This window comes from Homo sapiens, chromosome 19 (assembly GCF_000001405.40).
Source record: "Homo sapiens chromosome 19, GRCh38.p14 Primary Assembly".
Taxonomy (NCBI): domain Eukaryota; kingdom Metazoa; phylum Chordata; class Mammalia; order Primates; family Hominidae; genus Homo; species Homo sapiens.
In genome coordinates, this window is record NC_000019.10 from 4,518,915 (window position 1) to 4,540,065 (window position 21,151).

General features: G+C 55.5%; 2 protein-coding genes across 2 annotated transcripts, besides 1 other annotated feature; both read right to left on the reverse strand.

Annotated features, from left to right (window-relative positions):
* Window positions 1–3,616: 3,616 nt before the first annotated feature.
* On the reverse strand, window positions 3,617–16,310 carry PLIN5 (perilipin 5). Its single transcript, NM_001013706.3, has 8 exons — window positions 16,251–16,310; window positions 15,101–15,181; window positions 12,713–12,908; window positions 10,870–10,952; window positions 10,159–10,339; window positions 6,719–6,918; window positions 6,049–6,162; window positions 3,617–5,171 (listed from the first exon to the last, which is right to left on the reverse strand). Exons 2-8 carry the CDS (start codon window positions 15,158–15,160, stop codon window positions 4,614–4,616), a joined length of 1,392 nt encoding a protein of 463 aa, NP_001013728.2. The 5' UTR covers window positions 15,161–15,181; window positions 16,251–16,310; the 3' UTR covers window positions 3,617–4,613.
* Window positions 15,461–16,016: an enhancer, noted in NCBI's record as "H3K4me1 hESC enhancer chr19:4534387-4534942 (GRCh37/hg19 assembly coordinates)". NCBI's record gives its function as "activates a minimal SCP1, AML or CMV promoter by ChIP-STARR-seq in naive H9 embryonic stem cells {active_cell/tissue: H9 hESC(naive)}" and the evidence as "EXISTENCE:reporter gene assay evidence [ECO:0000049][PMID:30033119]".
* Window positions 16,311–17,487: 1,177 nt separating the features above from the next.
* LRG1 (leucine rich alpha-2-glycoprotein 1) lies at window positions 17,488–21,122 on the reverse strand. The gene is made up of 2 exons (NM_052972.3): window positions 21,068–21,122; window positions 17,488–20,037 (listed from the first exon to the last, which is right to left on the reverse strand). The coding sequence occupies exons 1-2, from the start codon at window positions 21,097–21,099 to the stop codon at window positions 19,026–19,028; spliced, it is 1,044 nt and encodes a 347-aa protein (NP_443204.1). The 5' UTR covers window positions 21,100–21,122; the 3' UTR covers window positions 17,488–19,025.
* Window positions 21,123–21,151: the final 29 nt, after the last annotated feature.

Here is a 21,151-nt window from a genome sequence, read left to right on the forward strand (position 1 = left end):
TGCCTCCAGCGCACCTGGCACGGTCCTGCCTTAGGGCCTCTGCACGGGCTGTGCCCTCTGCCTGGAACACCTTCCCTGCAGGTTCCCACAGGGCACCCTCTTCCGCCCACAGAACAGTGCCTGGCATACATTTGGCGCTTAATACACGTTTGGCTCAATGGAGCAACACAGAGAGTGGTTGTGAGCCTCTGTGAGATGAGGTCATGCACTGAACAAATGCTGCCTTCGCGTTACCCAGGCAGAAGCGGGGTCTCGGGGTCTCGGCAAGGAGCAGGGGGTGTCCTCAGTGTGGAGGGGAGCCCATCACTCTCCGGAAGGGACTTGGGCCAAAACGCAGACCAAGATGGAGCACCAGCCAAGCTGGGGGCACCCTAGGAGTGGAAACCCAGCCTGGGGGGCTTGGGCCAACCCAGGGAGGCTCCCTGGAGGAGGCGTCCTGTTCCAGAAGTGGTGAGGATGGGATTCAAACCCAGACCCTCCTGTTCCAGGAAGTGGTGAGGACGGGATTCAAACCCAGACCCAGGACCTTCGTGCTGAGCCCAGCCTATGTGCTGGGCTGTCTGTGGGTGGGTGGGCAGAGGAATGGCCGTAACGCCCACCCTGGGCTGTGTCCCCCTCCTACCTGCCCCTGAGACAGGGTTCCTAGCCCTGTGTTATTGGGGGTGAGAGGGCAGACCCCATGGGTGGCTCTGGGCACTGGGCTGGGAGGAGGGAGGGTACAGCCACAGGATCTGATGATTCCCAGGCCGTCTGTCTCCTTGGAGCCGACACTGTGTTTGCCAAACAGTGGGGGAACAGAAGGGGGGGTGTCCCCCAACCTCTTCTACCAGCCAGTGCTTCCCAAGGGTGGCTGGGAGAGCTCTGGGTGCCCCTCCCCTTCCCAAAGGGCAGCCACAGCCCAGTGTGTGGAGAGAAAAAATTAAAAAGTGATCATAAACATCCCAGCCAGGATCTACCCCTCCTCTGCCCAGCACCCTCCATGGCTCCCACCTTCTCCGGGGTGGGAGCCCAGGGTCAAAGCCCAAGTCCCCTTCCTGCAGCCCGGTAGGCCCTGCATAACCTGCCTCGTCTGCTCCCCACCTTCCTCTCCTTCTTCTCTTCACTCTGCTCCAGCCACACGGGCCTTTTCACTGTTCCCATAACATGCCAGGACAGAGTCCCTCAAAGACACACGTGACTGTGCCTGCTTAGCCCCGCACACCCTTCCTCAGGGCTTTCGTGTGGGTTGTTGCTTTTGCCTCCAGCACCCTTTCCCACATCCCTCACCTCCTTCCAGGTCTTTCCTCAAATATCACTTCCTCAAAGAGGCATTCCTGGATCTCCTCTCCCTTTAAAAAATATATACCTCAGGCCAGGTGCCATGGCTCACCCTGTAACCCCAGCATTTAGGGAGACCGAGGCAGGAGGATTGGCTTGAGCACAGGAGTTTGAGACCAGCCTGGGCGACAGAGCGCCACCCCGCCTCAAAAGAACAAAAGAAAAAAAAAAAAAAATAAATAAAAAAAATATATTTTATATATATATATTTCTGTTGAGGCGGGGTCGCGCTCTGTCGCCCAGGCTGGAGTACAGTGGTGCGATCTCGGCTCACTGCAAGCTCTGCCTCCCGGGTTCATGCCATTCTCCTGCCTCAGCCTCCCGAGTAGCTGGGACTACAGGCACTCGCCACCACACCCAGCTAATTTTTTGTATTTTTAGTAGAGACAGGGTTTCACTGTGCTAGGCAGGATGGTCTCGATCTCCTGACCTCGTGATCCACCTGCCTCGGCCTCCCAAAGCGCTGGGGTTACAGGCATGAGCCACTGTGCCCGGCTGCCCAAAATATATCTTTAAATAAAAATTAAATGAATTAATGGGCCAGGCGCGGTGACTCATGCCTGTAATCCCAGCATCTTGGGAGGCCGAGGCAGGTGGATCACCTGAGGTCAGGGTTCGAGACCAGCCTGGCCAACATGGCAAAACCCTATCTCTACTAAAAATACAAAAATCAGCTGTGTGTGGTGGCGCACGCCTGTAATCCCAGCTACTCGGGAGGCTGAGGCAGGAGAATCACTTGAACCTGGGAGGTGGAGGTTGCAGTGAGCCAAGATCGCGCCACTGCACTCCAGCCTGGGTGACAGAGTGAGACTCCTTCCCCACCCCCCCAAAGAAAAGAAAAGAAAAGAAAAATCCCAGGGCTTAGCTCAACCCATTCTCTTTTCCTCACCTCTGCTGCAGTGAAACTGATTTCCCTACTGCTGTGCCTTTCCCTAAGCTGTTCCCTCTGCCAAAATGCCTACCCCTATGTGCTGTTCTGATCATCCTCAACAGGCCTGGCCCTGCCAGGAGCCCCCAGCCTCATGTGGGAAGAGAGAGCAAGGCTGCCTGTGGCTATAAAGTCAAGGTGGAAAGGGCAAGAAACCTTGAGAAGGTGGCCTGTGGAGGACCGGAGGAGGGAAGTATCCGGCTGGGATGGAGTCCTGGAAGCCTTCCTGGAGGAGGAGGCATTGAGGCTGGGCCTTGAGGATGTATGAGATGTGTCCGAGGGACGGATGGGGGGTGGGAAGAGTATTCCAAGGTGGCCGCACAGCCTCAGCAAAGGCCCGGAGGTGGGAATGTGCCCACTTCAATGGTAAGAGAGCAAAGTATCCAGGTCAGGCTGGAGGAGGAAGCTGGAAGGTGAAGAGTTTGGTCTGTGGGCAGTGGGGACCTGTGGGAGATTCCAGAACAGGAGCAGGGAGGTAGATTTGGCTGGTGGAAGTGGTCGGAGATCCCAGAGCTGCCCTCTGGACTATGTCCCAGGGAAGTCAGGGGCCACCCTGACCTCACCATACCAAGCTGTGGTTTCCCAACACCCCGCCCAGCCCCAGGGGAGTCGGAAGAGCAGCCAGGAATGCGGTCAGAGGACAGGAGGAAACCCCCGAGACCAGCCTATGGCCCTTGCCCTGCCTCTGTCTTCCCATCCTGGCCAGTGCAGCTGGAGAGACCACAGCAAGACCAGCTCCTGCAGGACCAGGAGGTAGAGAGAGAGCTGCCCCATCTGACTCCTTCCCCATCTTTTCTGCTCCCTGCAATTCCATGAAATTCACCTGTACCAAGATGAGAACAGCTTCCATGCGGCCAAAGGGGCAATGCTGTTGTTTATTTTTAGAGACAGGGTCTCACTCTGTTGCCCAGGCTGGAGTGGAGTGGTTACTGATCCAAGCTCACTGCAACCTCAACTTCCTAGGCTCAAGCGATCCTGCTGCCTCAGCCTCCCGAGTAGCTGGGGCACAGGCTCGTACCATGTGTCATTTTAAAATTTTTCGTAGAGACAAGGTCTCCTATGTTGCCCAGGCTGGTGTCAAAACTCCCGGGCTCATGAAATCCTCCCACCTCAGCCTCCCAAAGTGCTGGGATTACCGATATGAGCCATGGTGCCCGGCTAATTTTAAGTGGTAATGCTTACCCCACATGGGCTGGGCAGTAACGGTGGATCCCAGACAGGATGACAGGCAGGTCAGAGAAGCACCATTCTTCTAGATCTTGAACTCTGGCTCTACACACCCCCTTCTCCATGTCTCAGCAGTGACACACCTCCGTGGCCCCCAGCCCCCTGGGACTGAGACTCACCCTGGCTGGAACACACACGTGGGCCTTTCAACAACAAAAAGGACCTTTATTCTGGAGGCAAATCCCAAACAGCAAAGCAAGCGAGTATGGCAGGCTGAGCAGCACGGCCCATGGGCAGAGGAGGGCTCACTTTTCAAAGTTCCAAATAGGGCAAAATGTGTGTTTCCCTAGGAAGTATTTTTTAAAAACATTTTTGAGATAGAGTCTTGCTCTGTCACCCAGGCGAGAGCGCAGGGGCAAGATCATGGCTCACTGCAGCCTCCAACTCCTGGGCTCAAGCAGTCCTCCCACCTTGGCCTCCCAAAGTGCTGTGATAACAGGTGTCAACCACCACACCCAGTCAGGGCTCACTTTTCAAAGCCCCAAACAGAAGGCATTGGGCAAAATGTGTATTTCTTCGGGAGGCTGTTACTATTATTTTTTGTTAGATGGAGTCTCGCTCTGTCACCCAGGCTGGTGTGCAGTGGCGCGATCTCTGCTCACTGCAAGCTCCGCGCCTCTCGGGTTTAAGCAATTCTTCTGCGTCAGCCTCACAACTAGCTGGGACTACAGGTGCACACCACCACACCTGGCTTTTTTTTTTTTTTTCTTTCTTTCTAAGTAGAGACAGGGTTTCATCATGTTGGCCAGGATGATCCCGAACTCCTGACTTCAGATGATCCACCTGCCTCAGACTCCCAAAGTGCTGGGATTACAGGCGTGAGCCACTGTGCCCAGCCTCTTGGAAAGATTTGGATTCGCTTCATGGAGCCAGGGAGCAGGACATAGGTGAAGAACCCAGCTTGTGGCTCAAGTTGGCCTGAATAGGGTTCGAGGCCCTGCTCCCCCGGGCCTCTTTGTCCATGTGTTCAAGGAAAAAATGGGAGAGTCCAATACCAAAAAGGTGGTCAGAGATCCGGAGTTGGGCCTGATTCCAAAGAAGGGTCAAGGCCAAGGCCTCGAGCTTACGTGTGGCCACCAGGGGGCAGCAGGGATCGGGGTGTGCAGGTGGCCTTTCCTCCCCGCCTCCACTGGCCCATGGGTCAGAAGTCCAGCTCGGGCATCAGGGTGTGCTTGACCGGGCAGCTGGGGGTCTCGGGTTCCTGCTCGCAGATGTCCCCGGCAACACCCATCCTGTCCCCATCCCCATTCCCACTCCCGTCCCTGTGCTCTGCCTCCCAGGCTCTCTGCTGGGCCGGCCAGTCCAGGTGCGCCCAGCGGGGGTCAGGGCCCCCGATGACCTCGTCCACCAGGTCCGCCAGGTCGGGCAGGGGCTCGGGTCGCTCCACAAGGATGGGCGCGAAGGGTCCCACCAGCCAGGGCAGCGGCACGGCCTGCACCACCAGCTCCAGCAGCTCGTCCACGCAGGCGTGCGCGTGGGCCACGCGACCCCGGCCCTCGGCCAGCGCGGCCGCTGGCACGTCCCTGAAGCAGCGGGCATCAGCGAAGGCGGTCTGCAGGGCATCCACACTGCGCCGCACCTCAGCCACCTTCTCCTGGGCGCCGGCGGGCAGGCCCCGCACGCTGGACTCCAGAGCCTCTACCGTGCCCTGCAGCTCCTGGGTCAGGCTGCGGGACAGCACCAGCGTCTCCAGCTCTGCCTGCAGGGGGCGGGGACCTCAGTTTCCCCTATGGACGCCCAGGAGGACTGCTGTCCTGCCTCGGTTTCTCTGATGGACCCACAGTGGAGCTGTCAACCTGTCTCATAGACCTCATAGTCCTGTCCCCTGTAGACACAGAATGTGACCCAGCCCTGACTCAGTCTCCTTCATAAACACACAATGGGGCCGGTCGCGGTGGCTCACGCCTGTAATCCCAGCACTTTGGGAGGCCGAGTCGGGCGGATCACCTGAGGTGCGGAGTTCAAGACTAGCCTGGCCAACATGGCGAAACCCCGTATCTACCAAAAATACAAAAATTAGCTGGGCGTGGTGGTGGACACCTGTAGTCCCAGCTACTTAGGAGGCTGAGACAGGAGAATCGCTTGAACCCGGGAGGCGGAGGTTGCAGTGAGCTGAGATCGCGCCACTGCACTCCAGCCTGGGCGACAGAGACAGACTCCTTCTCAAATAAATAAATATAAATAAAGTGGAAAGTGGAGAGATGGTTTCTAGGCTATAGGTTCAGGGAGAGAATGTGGAGGGAGGGAAAGCGAGAAGGGGCGGGAAGCCAGGGACTACTGCTTGCTTGGGCCAACACCCCCCTTTCCCCCCACCTCCCTCCATCTCAAAAATAAATAAATAATAAAATAATAAAACTCCATCTCAAAATAAATACATAAATAAAACACACAATGGGACTTAAACCTGCCTCAGTTTCCCCCCCCAGACACCTCAACTAGCTGAGCTCAGCACTTGGTTTGAGATAGCTTGAGTTGGGTCCCCGGCAGTACTGGGCTGACCCGCAGTCCGTCGCTCCCCCTCTTCCTCCGCGGCCTGGTGGCAGACACCACCTCACCTGGCACTCCTGCGGTCTCACCTGGCTCCGGCGGCGGCTCTCCGGAGGGCGCTGGCCCCATTCCCCCCACAGCTCGTGCACCTTCCCAGGGCAGGCCGGGGCGGTGGGGGTCACCCCACACTGCATGTGGTCTATCTGCAAGGACAGAAATGGTGGTCTTCAGAGCTGGGGGAGCTGGGGGAGCTGGGGGTCGGGGTGGGGTCCAGGACCACTGATCTGGCCTCAGTAAGCATTTAGGAGACCGAGGCAGGTTGTGCAGGGCCGTGGGGAAGACTTGGGCTTGGACCCCAAGGGAGGTGGGAGCCATAGAGGGCTGTGGGTAAAGAAGGGACAGACCTGACTCAGGGGCTCACAGGTGCCCTCTGGTGGCTGCTGCGGGGAGGGAAGAGCTGAGGATGGGAGGATTCTGATGAGGAGGAAGGCTCTCTTCTGACCTACCCTAACTTGCTATAAATTCCAGCTTCTCCTTCCCCTCTTCCACAAAACCCCTCCCTGACTCTCCAGGCAGAGCCATGACATCCCTGGGCTCCTCCAGGCCCGGGTCCCCCAGCCCTGAACACATGCAGCTGGAGACAGCTGCACCCAGCTCCGCCTCCTGCTTTAGGCTAGCACGGGATCCGGTATTCAGCTGGTGCTCAATCCATACTGATTGGCCTGCATCCCGGAGCAGGGGCGGGCAGCGGGCTCTCACCAGCTCCAGCGTCTCCTGCAGCTGGGCCAGGGTGTCCTGGGCACGGTGTTTGCTCTGCCTCAGTTTCCCCACAGAGTGCTCGTAGGCCAGGTGGCGGATCCGTGCTGACAGGGAGCCGAGGCGCACAAAGTAGCCCTGCTGTCTCCTCTGATCCTCCACCGAACCCACTTCAGGGCCTTCAGCCTCAGCCGCCAGTGCCGCTGGAGGACAGGATACGGGGACAGCACGGGGACAGGATACGGGGACAGCACGGGGACAGGATACGGGGACAGCACGGGGACAGGATACGGGGACAGCACGGGGACAGGATACGGGGACAGCACGGGGACAGCATGGGGTCAGCACAGCCACCCACCCCCTCCACATCTGCTCACCCACCTCTGGGTACAGAAGCCACAGGTTCCCACATTCACAGTTCCCCTTGACTGACATCAACCCATTTGGTCTTCCCCAAACCCTAAGATGTAGGCACTATGGTGGGCCCTGTTTTACACAGGAGGAAAACTGAGGCAAAGGAGAGGTGAGATCCTGCAGGATCCAAGAAGCAGACCCAGATTGGAACCCAGGCACGTTGGTCCCAAACTGCTTAACCATTTTTTTTTTCTTTGAGATGGAGTCTCGCTCTGTCCCCTAGGCTGGAGTGCAGTGGCACTATCCCAGCTCACTGCAACCTCTGCCTCCCAGGATCAAGCGATTCTCCTGCCTCAGCCTCTTGAGTAGCTGGGACCACAGGCGTGCACCACCACACCCGATTAAGTTTTGTATTTTTAGTAGAGACGGGGTTTCACCATGTTGGCCAGGCTGGTCTAGAACTCCTGAGCTCAATTGATCCGCCTGCCTGGCCTCCTAACGTGCTGTGTTTACAGGTGTGAGCCATCATGCCTGGCCTGCTTAACCATTCTTTTAAGCAGCCTTTTAAAAATATAGGTTGGGTGCAGCAGCATGCACTTGTAATCCCAGCACTTTGGGAGGCCGAGATGGGAGGATTGCTTGAGCCCAGGGAGGATTACTTTGAGACTAGCTTAGGCAATACAGCAAAAAACCCTGTCTCTAAAAAAGAAATACAGAAATTAGCCAGGGCTGGGCACAGTGGCGTGTGCCTATAGTCCCAGCTGCTTGAGAAGCTGAGGCAGGAGGATCAATTGAGCTCAGGAATTGAAGGCTATGGTTAGCTACGATCACACCACTGCCCTCTAGCCTGGGCAACAGAGCAAGACTCCATCTCAAAAAAAAATTAAAATTAAAAAAATGAATGAAAAATAATAAAAAAAGAGAAAATCCACACAAGATATGGTGGAAAAAAATAAAAAGAATATATCATAGTCCAGGCACAGCGGCTCACGCCTGTAATCCCAGCACTTTGGGAGGCCAAGGCAGGGGGATCACTTGAGCCCAGGAGTTGGAGACCAGCCTGGGTGACAGAACAAGACCCCATCTCTAAGAAAAAAAATTTTTTTTTTTGAGATGGAGTCTCGCTCTGTTGCCCAGGCTGGAGTGCAGTGGCGCAATCTCGGCTCACTGCAAGCTTCACCTCCCAGGTTCACGCCATTCTCCCACCTCAGCCTCCTGAGTAGCTGGGACTACAGGCACCCGCCACCACGCCCGGCCAATTTTTTGTATTTTTAGTAGAGACGGGGTTTCACCATTCACAGGATGGTCTCGATCTCCTGACCTTGTGATCTGCCCTCCTCGGCCTCCCAAAGTGCTGGGATTACAGGCGTAAGCCACCGCGCCCGGCCTAAAAAAAAATTTTTAAATCAGCCAGATGTGGTGGTGTGCACCTCTAGTTCCATTTGTCTAGGAGGATGAGGCAGGAGAATCACTTGAACCCAGGAGGCGGAGGCTGCAGTGAGCCAAGATCATATCACTGCACTCTAGCCTGGGCGACAGAGTGAGACTCCACTTCAAAAAAAAAAAAAAAAAAAAAAAAAAAACAACAATGGTTGGGCGTGGTGGACTCACGCTTGTAATCCCAGCACTTTGGGAAGTCAAGGCAGGTGGCTCACCTGAGGTCAGGAGTTTGGCCAACATGCAAAACCCCATCTCTACTAAATACACAAAAATTAGCCGGGTGTAGTGGTGGGTGCCTGTAATCCCAGCTACTTGGGAGGCTGAGGCCGGAGAATCGCTTGAACACGGGAGGCAGAGGCTGTAGTGAGCTGAGATCGCAACACTGCACTCCAGCCTGGGCAACAAAGTGAGAGATTCTGTCTCAAAAAAAAAGAAAAAAAAATTCAGGAGTGCCTGGCACACAAGAAGTGCCTGATCAATGCCTCACTGCCTTTTTTTTTTTTTGAGATAGAGTCTCGCTCTGTCACCCAGGCTCAAGTGCAGTGGTGCGATCTCTGCTCACTGCAAGCTCCACCCCCCGGGTTCACGCCATTCTCCTGCCTCAGCCTCCTGAGTAGCTGGGACTACAGGCGCCCGCCACCACGCCCGGCTAATTTTTTGTATTTTTAGTAGAGACGGGGTTTCACCGTGTGAGCCAGGATGGTCTCGATCTCCTGACCTCGTGATCGGCCCGCCTCGGCCCCCCAAAGTGCTGGGATTACAGGCCTGAGCCACCGTGCCCGGCCGCCTCCCTGCTTTTCTGCTGAGGTGGGGGTAAGCCCATACATTCTTCCAGTACTGTAAGGCCAGAGTTGGACATTCACATGGTCTCCAGGGCCAGGCAGGTACCAAAAACCATCAAAGTAGATATGACATAAACCACTGGGGACTAGTGGAGCTGAGCAAACCATCTGAAGGAGCAGACAATATTCTGGCTGTGTCTAGTTTTTCTTTTTTTTTTTTTGAAACGGAGTCTCGCACTGTGGCCTGGGCTGGAGTGCAATAGCGCGATCTCAGCTCATTGCAACCTCCACCTCCCAGGTTCAAGTGATTCTCCTGCCTCAGCCTCCCGAGTATCTGGGAATACAGGCACACGCCACCACGCCTGGCTAATTTTTTGTATTTTTAGTAGAGACGGGATTTCACTATGTTGGCCAGGCTGGGCTCGAACTCCTGACCTCATGATCTGCCCACCTTGGCCTCCCAAAGTGCTGAGATTACAGGCGTGAGCCACTGTGCCTGGCAGTGTGTCTGGTTTTTCAAAACAAGCCAAGAATCGGGACATGTAATGCAAAATCTGGTTGTTAAATGCATGCAAAGAATGAAAATATTTAAAACACGCTGCACAGGCATTTGGGGGCCACCAGTTTGGGACCTCAAGTCTAAAAGCCCTATATGCCCTTAGGGTCTGGGTGTTCTGACTCCTGGCGGGATGCAGGTTGAGGGGCCGTGGAAGTGACCGGGAGGGAGGACAGGCCTGGTTTTGAGTTGTATGTTTCCTGCTGATCTGCTGTGTGACCTTGGGTGAGTCTCAGACCTCTCTGATCTGTACCACAGGGGATGGGGACGGGGCAGGACTCAGGGGTTAGGGTTGAGGGTGTCGTCCTCACCGAGCTCTTCCTCCGTCATGGGCAGGAAGTGATCCACCAGCTCCTCTGATTTTTCCAGTACAACATCCACAGCATGGCTCACGGAGCGCTTCAGCTCCACGCTCCAGCGCCGGCCCCTCCGGGCCAGGTCCACCACACCCGTGACACTGCTGGCCACCACGTCCTTGGCTGAGGTCACCACCTGGAAGGAAGGGCCCCCCCACTCCAGGCACCGTGGGACTCCAGCTCCATTTCTGCCACCCTAGTTCCCTGGGGCTGGGACTCAAAGATCCCTGGACTTCTACCTGGCTCCGTGCCTCAGTTTCCCCTATAAAATGGGTGATAAAACCCTTCCCTCACAGAGGGTGTTGAGGGAGTTAACTGCCCTTACTAGCAATACATATGTATACACACATACATATACATATATACACATATACACACATATACATATATACATGTATATATACACATATACATATATACTTATACGTATATATACATATATACTTATACGTATATATACATATATACACTATACGTATATACATATATGTATACACACACACACACACACACACACACACACACACACACACGTTGCAGTTATTTTAACCTGGCTGTTTTTTCTTGAGTTAACTAAAAGCCTGGTTGTCACCATCCCTCCCTCCCTCCCGCCTCTAATCTGGCCTGCCCCCACTGGAGGTCCCCATGTCTAGTCGTCCGGGGTACCGTCTCCGAAGGTTGCTGGAGAAAGGGAAGCTTCTCTTCCAGCTTGTCCAGGCCCCTGCAGGCGAGGCTGTTCATAGTGGCCACTGAAGGGAGAGAGGCGGGGAGTGAGACTCGGGGAGACGCAGAGGGAGATAGGGACGCAGTGAGAGTTGTAGAAGGAGGGAATGCTAGAGAGAGAAGCAGAGACAGAGAAGGAAGGAGACCAGGATAAGACAGGGAGAAACAAAACGGAATGATGGAGACGAGACCCACACCAGGAGATGGACAGGCTTTCTGAGACCTTACACCAAGAAGCCGCTTACACCAAAGACGCTGGGGCAGACACCTGTGGCGCCTGGAGAGAGAGTCTACGAGGGAGATGGGGAGAAGGCCTAGACCACAGGGGGACCTGGCTGCCTCCCTAGGTGAGACTGGGGGCCCTGAGGGTGTGGGTAGGCCGCTGGGTTGGGCACTGCCTCCTCTGCCATCCTGCCTGGGCCCTGCCACCCACCCTGTTCTCCCAGCACCAAGGCGACTTTTCAGCCGTGCCCAGCTCAGATGGCCCAGCGGACAGACTCAAGGTCACAGAAGCTGGCTGAGAGGGAGGTGAGGAGGTGCTGGGCTAGGACCCTCAGGTGACCCTCTTCCTGGGTCAGACTAGAGGCCAAGGATCCTGTAGTCCCCCGCCTGTCATCGGCTCAGGGGTCCACAGAGATGTGAGAACTACAGAGCGGAGGCTGCGGGGCTTAGGACAGGCAGAGGCAGGTGCAGAGGGGAGGGGGCCTGGAGAGACAAATGGACCCAAGGCACATCAGGCCAACAAAGGAGGGGACACAGGGAGACAGATGGATAGGGACAGAGAGGAGGGGCCCCACCAGTAAACAGGTAAGGGCAGAGGGCCAGGGGATCAGATTTATTTATTTATTTTGAGACAGAGTCTAGCTCTGTCACCCAGGCTGGAGTGCAGTGGTGCGATCTCGGCTTGCTGCATCCCCTGCCTCCCAGGTTCAAGCGATTCTCCTGCCTCAGCCTCCCATGCAGCTGGGATTACAGGCGCCCTCCACCACGCCTGGATAATTTTTTGTATTTTTAGTAGAGTTGGGGTTTCACCATGTTGGCCAGGCTGTTCTCGAACTCCTGACCTCAAGTGAGTGATCTGCCTGCCTCGGACTCCTAAAATACTGGGATTACAGGCATGAGCCACCGCACCTATCAGGGGATCAGTTTTTTTTGTTTGTTTTTGCTTTTTTTTTTTTGAAATGGAGTCTCACTCTGTTGCCCAGGCTGGAGCGCAATGGTGCGGTCTTGGCTGACTGCAACTTCTGCCTCCCGGGTTCAAGCAATTCTCCTGCATGAGCCTCCTGAGTAGCTAGGATTACAGTTATGTGCCACCACACCGGGCCAAGTTTTGTATTTTTAGTAGAGACAGGGTTTCACTATGTTGTCCAGGCTGGTCTTAAACTTCTGACCTTGTGATCCAACCGCCTCAGCCTCACGAAGTGCTGGGATTACAGGCATGAGCCACCACACCCAGCCAGATTTAAAAAAAAAATTTTTTTTTTGAGATACAGGGTCTCGCTACGTTGCTCTGGCTGGTCTTGAACTCCTGGCCTCAAGTGATCCTCCTTCCTCGGCCTCCCAAAGTGCTGGGATCATAGGCATGAGCCACCATGCCTGGCTGGTGATCAGATTAAAGAAGGACTTAAGTGAAGAGATTGAGGACAGGTGGCATGGCAGTGGGACAGGTGGCTAGGCTGAAGATGACCCCCAGGAGTGTCATGCAGATAGACCAAGGAGGATGGGACAGGGGGCGGTGGGGGGGTGGCAAGCCACAGCTCCCAGGGACACGGGCCAGGGCACTCACGCTGGGGCTGCAGGTGCTCGAGCAGCGGCTGGGCGTGGTCCAGGGCACGGGTGGTCAGGCCGCACACGCAGTTCTCAGCCAGGCGGCAGGCGGAGCCCAGCAGCGGGTGCCTGTCCTTGGCTGCACTGTAAACATCGCAGACCGCGGTGCACGTGGCCCTGACCAGGGGCAGAGCCACCACACGCTGCACCACGTTCTGCGGGAAGGGTCGGCATCAGGGGGACCCTGGGGGAAGTGGGGCCCTAGCCACACCTCAACCTACTTCCCCTCTCTGGGCCAGGACGAGGGATGGGAGAGTGGAAGGATGGAGTACTGAGCACCCCGCCACGTAGAGGCAGTGAAGATAAACGTGGATGTGAGAATGTCATGGTTCCTGCACTCACAGGCTCCTCTTCCCATGGCGTACACAGAGCATTACAATTTTGTTTGTAATGGGGTTTCACTCTTATCACCCAGGCTGGAGTGCAGTGGCACCATCTCGGCTCACGGCAACCTCCTCCTGGATTCAAACGATTCTCCTGCCTCAGCCTCCCAAGTAGCTGGGATTACAGGTGCCCGCCACCACACCTGGCAATTATATTATAAGAGGGAGTCTCGCTCTATCGCCCAGGCTGGAGTGCAGTGGCACGATCTCGGCTCAGCGCAACCTCCGCCTCCCGGGTTCAAGTGATTCTCCTGCCTCAGCCTCCCGAGGAGCTGGAATTACAGGCATGCGCCACCATACCCGTTTTTTTTGTTTGTTTTGTTTGTGTATTTTTAGTAGAGATGGGGTTTCTCCACATTGGTCAGGCTGGTCTCAAACTACCGACCTCAGGTGATCCACCTGCCTTGGCCTCCCAAAGTGCAGGGATTACAGGCGTGAGCCACCGCGCCCAGCCAATTTTGTTTTTATTTTTATTTTTAGTAGAAACAGGGTTTCACTATGTTGACCAGGCTGGTGTCGAACTCCCGACCTCAGGTGATCCACCCACCTCAGGTGATCCACCCACCTCAGCCTCCCAAAGTGCTAGGATTACAGGCCTGAGCCATTGCACCTGGTCACAATTTTTTTGTTTTCAATAGAGACAAGGTCTTGCTCTGTTGGCCAGGCTAGAGGGCAGTGATTCAAGCACGGCTCACTGCAGCCTAAGCCTCCTAGCCTCAAGCAATCCTCCAACCTCAGTTTCCAAGTACCTGGGATTACAGGTGCACACCACTGTGCCCAGCTAATTTTATTTTATTTTATAGAGATTGGGTCTTGCTGTGTTGCCCATGCTGGTCTTGAACTCCTGGCTCAAGCGATCCTCCCGCTTCAGTCTCCTAATATGCTGGGATTATAGGCATGAGCCACTGCACCTGGCCAAATACTATATTTTTTTTATCTGCATTTGGTTGAAAAAGGTCTGCATACTTCTGTCTCCTGGGTTCAAGAGATTCTCCTGCCTCAGCCTCCCAATTAGCTGGGATTCCAGGCAGGCACCACCCCACCTGGCTTTTTTTTTTTTTTGAGATGGAGTCTCGTTCTTGTTACCTAGGCTGGAGTGCAGTGGCGTGATCTCGGCTCACTGCAACCCCCGCCTTCAGGGTTCAAGCGGTTCTCCTGCCTCAGGCTCCCGAGTAGCTGGGAATACAGGCACCCGCCACCACACCCGGCTAATTCTTGTATTTTTAGTAGAGACAGGGTTTCACCAAGTTAGCCAGGCTGGTCTCGAACTCCTGACCTCAGTTGATCTGCCCGCTTGGCCTCCCAAAGTGCTGGGATTACAGGCGTCTGAGCCACCGCACCCAGCCTGACCTGTGCAGTTCAAACCCATGTTGTTGAAGGGTCCACTGCGATCTGTCTGCTCGAGGGAGGAGATGTTAGAGTCTGGGGGTTCAGAGCACTGCCCCTGGAGCACAGTGGCCTCTGTTCACTTCTGGTTCAGCTGCCTGCAAGTTGTGTGAACTTGGGCAAGCCACTGAACTGTTCGGTGCCTTTGTTTCCCCATCTATGAAATGGGTTACTAGGGTTGTGATGGGTGTTCAAGGAGCCAATATACATGAAACGGTTGGAACTGTGACTGATACAGTGATTGCTGCTCTTACTATTGTTGTTACTGAGGGCGCCATGATGGTGGACGTGGAGACAGAAGGATACAGGTGGAGACCCAGGGATCAAAGGAGAGGGAAAGGGTTGGGTAGGGGCCACAGAAGCCAGCTGGGTGTCTTTGAGAGACACTCCCCTCCCAGGGCCTCATTAAGCCCCCACTAGGAAATAGACCATCCCCTCCATGGACCAAAATATTTTATGACTCAGGTTTTCCCAGCAAGGAGAGGAGTGGGGCGGGATACCTGGCCTGAAACGCTCCTAGAAGGGACTGTCCCACACAATACCTTCTGTCCCTGCTCCATGGGAGGGGCAGCCCTCACCTGCTGGTCCTGCTCCCACACACTGGATCTGGGGATCTGAGCCGCCTCTTCTTCAGACATCGTGCTGCAAACAGGGTCACCCTGCGGGGCAGGATTGAGTAAGGGGAGCACCTGCCCAGGCATCAGATCCTGTCAAATTGGGCTCTGTGACTTGAGCAACTCTCAAACCTCTTGGGGCCTCAGTTTCTTCATCTGCATAATGGGGCATTCTGTGGAGCTCAGACAATGCATGTCCAGAGCTCTGTACACAGAGGGTGTCCAATAATGAGCCTCTGGCAAGGTAGGGTTGCCGGAGTGACTCGAAGCATGGTCTCTGAGGTGAGAAAGACCTGGGTTCAAATGCTACCATTAATTGCGGTGTTATTTTTATTATTTTTTTAAAGACAGAATCTCTCTCGCCCAGGCTGGAGAGCAGTGGCGCCATCCCAGCTCACTGCAATTTCCGCCTCCCAGGTTCAAGTGATTCTCCTGCTTCAGCCTCCCAGTTAGCTGGGATTACCCACGTGCCACCATGCTCGGCTAATTTTTGTATTTTTAGTAGAAACCGGGTTTCGCCATGTTGCCCAGGCTGGTCTCAAACTCCTGGGCTCAAGTGATCTGCCCACCTCGGCCTCCCAAAGTGCTGGGATTACAGGCATGAGACACTGCACCTGGCCAGCTGTGTGATTTTTGGCAAGCACCTTCACCTCTCTGGGCTGCTTCCTGTTTTGTAAGATGTGGGAGGTCCCTGCTACCCCTGCGGCCCCTGCCTGGGCCCAGAACTGCCCAAGCACCCTAGACGGCTGGAGGTGGTAGCTGCTGGGTCCCAGTCCACTCACAGCTCATTTGACAGACAGGGCAACTGAGGTACGCAGCAGGTCCATGCTGGTCCCAAGGTCACGCAGCCAGCTAGAGTTACAGGGGGGGAGCTCGACCTCGGGCCTCAGACCTGCCGCCTGCGATCCCTCCGGTTGCCACCCCGCGTCCTCTGAGGCCTGGTCCTCGCCCAACTGGGTCCTGAGCTGGGGCCAACCGGGCCAAGGGTCCCAGCCACCTGCTCTGGCCGGTCATACCCGTCCCACGCCGCCGGACCTTCGCCCAACCACCCTATCTGGAGCTCCTCTCCTAAGCCCGGGGGGGCGCTCCCGGACGCCGCCCTCAGGGCACTCACCTGGGCGCGAGCGGCTTCAGACACCAGCTGTCTCCGCCGACCCCAGGCTCGAGTCTCCACACCCCCGCCGGTCCCGCCCGCCCTTCTTATAGCTGCTCGCGCAGTGGGGGCCTCCGGAACTGACCAATGGGGAGAGGCCGTGCGGGGGCGTGCCCAGGGGGCGTGGCTCCAGGCTTCCCTCGCCCTCTCCTTGAGCTGGCCCAGTGCCCTACGGTTGCCATAGTAATTCGGGAGCGCTAGATTCAAAAGATTGAGCTATTATACGTTCCCGGACCAAGTTTGGCCACCTGTCATCCTCACTGCTGTTGCCATAGAGACAGTCCATGCGATCACAGCCCCCATAGCCCTGCTGAGTGACCTTGGCCAACTCGCTGATGACTTTTCTTATTAATTATTATTATTTATCGATTTTTGAGACTGGGTCTTGCTCGGTTGCCCAGGGCTAGAGTGCAGTGGTGTGATCATAGCTCACTGCAGCCTTGCCCTCCCAGGCTGAGGTGATCCTCCCGCCTCAGTCTCCTAAGTAGCTGGGACCACAGGCACACACCACCACCCCCAGCTAACTTTTTAAACTTTTTGTAGAGACGAGATGTCCCTGTGTTGACCAGGCTTGTCTTCAACCCCTGAGCCCCAAGTGATCCTTCCACCTCAGCCTTCCAAATTGCTGGGATTACAGGTGTGAGCCATTGCACCCAGCCTCTTTTTATTTCTTAATCTGCCCCTTAACTAAGCCAGAAGCCAGGCCTTCCCTTTCCCTAGGATCCCCATTTCACAGATGAGCAAGCTGAGGCTCAGAGATCATAAAACACTTGCCCCGCATACCACAGCAAGTGAGGGATCCTATTCCTTTTTTTTCTTTTTTTTTTTTTGAGACAGAGTCTGACTCTGTCGCCCAGGCTGGAGTGCAGTGGCGCGATCTTGACACACTGCAACCTCCGCCCCCTGGGTTCAAGTGATTCTCCTGCCTCGGCCTCCGGAGTAGCTGGGATTACAGGCGCCTGCCACCACACCTAGCTAATTTTTGTATTTTTAGTAGAGACGGGGTGTCACCATATTCGTCAGGCTGGTCTTGGACTCCTGACCTCGTGATTTGCCTGCCTTGGCCTCCCAAAGTACTAGGATTACAGGCATGAGCCACCGTGCCCGGCCAGGGATCCTATTCAAACCCAGCCCTGCTGGACCTCAGAACCCTGCCTTTTCATTGCCTTGCCTGGAATGACCACAGATGTAGGCATGGTCTTTTTATTTTTATTTTTATTTTTGAGACACAGTTTCACTCTGTCGCCCAGCCTGGAGTGCAGTGGCGTGATCTTGGCTCACTGCAACCTCCGCCTCCCAGGTTCAAGTGATTCTCCTGCCTGACCCTCCCAAGTAGCTGGTATTACAGGCACGTGCCACTGTGCCTGGCTAATTTTTGTATTTTTAGTAGAGACAGGGTTTTGCCATGTTGGCCAGTCTGGTCTCGAACTCCTGACCTCCGGTGATCTGCCTGCCTCAGCCTCCCAAAGTGTTTGGATTACAGGCATGAGCCACGGCGCCAGGCTGCATGGTCATTTTTTAGGGAGCTGGGAAAACTGGACATGCCCCCAAGCCCCAGGGTCTTCCAAATCCGATTGCAGCCCCCACATGGCCAATGCTGTATCAGCAGGTGGGCCCGGGACCCTGCTCATCCCTTCAGCCCCATCCTGCCCCTGCAACCTTGCCCGGGGGCAGGTGCCCCCTTCGATGATCTCAGGTCAGCATGACAAATCGTTTGGAGACCTGGGCAATCTGGTTTAACTTAAACCTTCTCCTAGGACACAAGCCCTGGCAGAAATCCACTGGTAAAATGACACCCGGGCAACAGTCAAGGTTTTATTTCCAGTTAGGTCCCAGGATGGGGGAAGGGAGAGGAGAAGTCACAGGCCATTGATCCCAACTGTCATCCCCTAGGGAGACCATATCCCACACCCCAGGGCCTGGGCCATGCCTCTTTTCCTCCTTCACCCTGGAGTCCTGGGAAGTTGATTTGAGAAGATGCTAGGAACACAATGAAAGCCAATTCATCCGATCCAGTTTTCAAGGGTTATTTATTAAACCCCTTGGTTCTGACCCCAAGCTAAGTGGGACTCAGCATCAGACCCTGCACTCAGAGAGCCCCCTGACTTGGGGAAGACAGAGTCAGAGAAAGGCAGCCCCAGTGTGGCCAGGGCTCAGCTGGAAGGAAGGACAAGGGGCTGGGAGAACCCAGAGTTCAAGAGATCTGGGAAACAGGGAACGGCATTCCAGACGGAGGGCACACCTTGGGCATGGGTAAGGAAAGCCCATCGTGTGTTCTAGGAAGCATGGATGGATGAAACGGGGTCCCAGCCGCTATGGACAGCCCCGAGTTTCACCTGTAAAAGGCAGGATTATTTGTTTTTAATTTTAATTTTAATTTTTTTGAGACAGTCTTGCTCTGTCGCCCAGGCTAGAGTGCAGTGGCACGATCTTGGCTCACCGCAAGCTCCGCCTCCCAAGTTCACGCCATTCTCCTGCCTCAGCCTCCCGAGTTGCTGGGACTACAGGTGCCCACCACCACGCCTGGCTAATTTTTTATATTTTTAGTAGAGACAGGGTTTCACCATGTTAGCCAAGATGGTCTCGATCTCCTGACCTCGTGATCCGCCCACCTGGGCCTCCCAAAGTGCTGGGATTACAGGCGTGAGCCCCCGCACCCGGCCAAAGGCAGGATTATTTGTTAAGCGGGTTGCAGTGTTCTACCAGACCCCCCACCCTCAACCCAAGCCCCTGGTCTCACTGGGACTTGGCCACTGCCAGGAGCGTCTGGCCCTTCACGGCTTCAGGCCCAGCACAGCGCGTGTCATTCTGGGAAAACATCTTGTCTTTTTGGGCCTGAAGCCAACGATAGAGGTCGCTCAGGTTCTGGTCACAGATCCAGGGGTTGCCGGAGATGTCGAAGCCATCCCGCATGTCCCAGTTTGGCTGCCCTAGGGATGCCCAGAGCCCCTCGGGCACGCTGGCCAGTGAGTTATTGGAGAGGTCCAGCATGTCCAGCTGCCGCAGGCCCTGGAAGGCACCGGCTGCCACCCTGGCCAGCTTGTTGCCGTTCAGGAAGAGGTAGCGCAGGTCCGGCTGCGGCAAGAGGAGATCTTTTCCCAGTACTTGCAATTTGTTGCCTTCTAGATGTAGCCGTTCTAATTGCAGCGGACCCCTCAGGAGGTCAGGTGGCAAGGTCTCCAACTGGTTCTCCCCAAGGTCAAGGGTGCGCAGGAGGGTGAAGTTGGCCAGCAGCCCGGGGGGCAGTTTCCGGAGGCGGTTCCCAGACAGGTCCAGATGCCCCAGAGCTTTCAGGCCGTGTAGCCACGAGACCTCCAGGACCTCCAGCTGGTTTTCTTTCAATACCAGGGTGTCCAGGGTGGCTGAGGCCTGGAAGAGGCCCGGGGGCAGCCCGGTCAGGGCGTTTCGGGTTAGATCCAGCACCCTCAGCTGCGGCACTGGCCGCAGGAATTCGGGCGAGAGGCTTTCCAGCCCATTGCTGGAGAGGTGCAATTCTTGGAGCTTAGAGGCGCCCTGGAGGAGGTTGGCTGGCAGGTGGGTCAGGTTGAAGAATTCCACGGCCAGGTGCACGGTGTCGGCTGGCAGGTAGCCGGGGATTTCGGCAGGTGGTTGACAGGAGATGGAGCTGCCATGGTCTGAGCGGAACACCTGGCAGTCTTTGGGGCTCAGGGTGACCCCCCAGGCTGAGGCTGCCAACAGCAGCAGCAGGAACAGAGTTCTAGAAACATGGGGTTGAATGCCCCCTGGGCTGCAGGCAGTAACAGAAGATGCTTACTAAACCACAGTGAAAATACACTCAGCTAGGTGAAAATACACCAGCAAATCCGCCCACTTCTTCCCATCTCTGCGGCTACCAGCCTGGACTATGCTACCTCATCTCTCACCTGTACTAGGGCAGTTGCTTCCTCCTCCTCTTCCAGCTTCTACCCTCACCCCCGACAGCTGCCAGAAGTGGCCCCTGTTCCAGGGAGAATTATAATTCTAGGAAAGTTGAGTTTCTGAGTGTAACTCCCGCATAATATGAATACACTTCCCCATCACCAGCCTAGCCCCCATGAGCTGTTAATTATTCACAGTCCAACTTGCTAGTTTCTTCTGATCTGGCTTATTTTCTGGGTCAGTCCTTGTCTCCCTGGCTCTGTGTTTTGATGTGAACTCCTATTCATCCTTCAAAGCCCCAGCTCCAATGCCCTCTTTTCCATGAAGACTTCTCTGCTCTGGGATCCTGGTCTTTTTGTCCACTCTTGACCAATTGGGTGCTTGGAGGAAGACAGACGTTCAGGTTCATGTTTTTGAGACAGAGTCTTGCTCAGTTGCCCAGGCTGGAGGGAACTGGCATGATCACAGCTCACTGCAGCCTCTGAACATGAAAAGTGTGTCCTGCTTTGGCCAGGTCTGAGGGTGGGCATTTGGCCTTGGGAAGCGGTGGTTTACACTTAGCACCACAACCCTTGGAAGCCTGGGGCTTCCCCTCCTCCTCCAGGGCTTCCCTGGCCCGGCAGCCATCAGACATGATCTCGACAGCCTTGGTCACTGTGGCCCCAGGCCTCTAACAAGAAGCCTCCCCCGGCTCCCTGCTGCCCATGCCCACCTGGGCTTCTGTAGGGGTGTGTGTGTGTGTGCACGCGCCAGTCTTTCTGTCACAGATAAGGTTGATCTGTGCCAGCCACCAGGCCTGTATCTGCTCCCTGTGACTTCTATGGGTTAGCTGGAATGTCCTGTATCTCCGCATGGTCTGGCGTTCAAACCTGCCTAGGACAGGTAGTGTGGGGACCTACCTTTTTGGTCGCTGTCTGCTCCAAGAGGACATGGTAGCTCTGCTCTTTTGCTTCTGGGTTGTCCTGGCCTGCGGAGGTGGCCTT

Coding starts and splice junctions, on each gene's coding strand:
- PLIN5 (NM_001013706.3), bottom strand. CDS start 15,160: ATGTCTGAAGAAGAGGCGGCTCAGATCCCCAGATCCAGTGTGTGGGAG. Junction 10,953..12,712: donor CGAGCACCTGCAGCCCCAGC/GTGAGTGCCCTG, acceptor CTCTCCCTTCAG/TGGCCACTATGAACAGCCTC. Junction 10,340..10,869: donor TCCAGCAACCTTCGGAGACG/GTACCCCGGACG, acceptor CCTTCCTTCCAG/GTGGTGACCTCAGCCAAGGA.
- LRG1 (NM_052972.3), bottom strand. CDS start 21,099: ATGTCCTCTTGGAGCAGACAGCGACCAAAAAG. Junction 20,038..21,067: donor AGCAGACAGCGACCAAAAAG/GTAGGTCCCCAC, acceptor TACTGCCTGCAG/CCCAGGGGGCATTCAACCCC.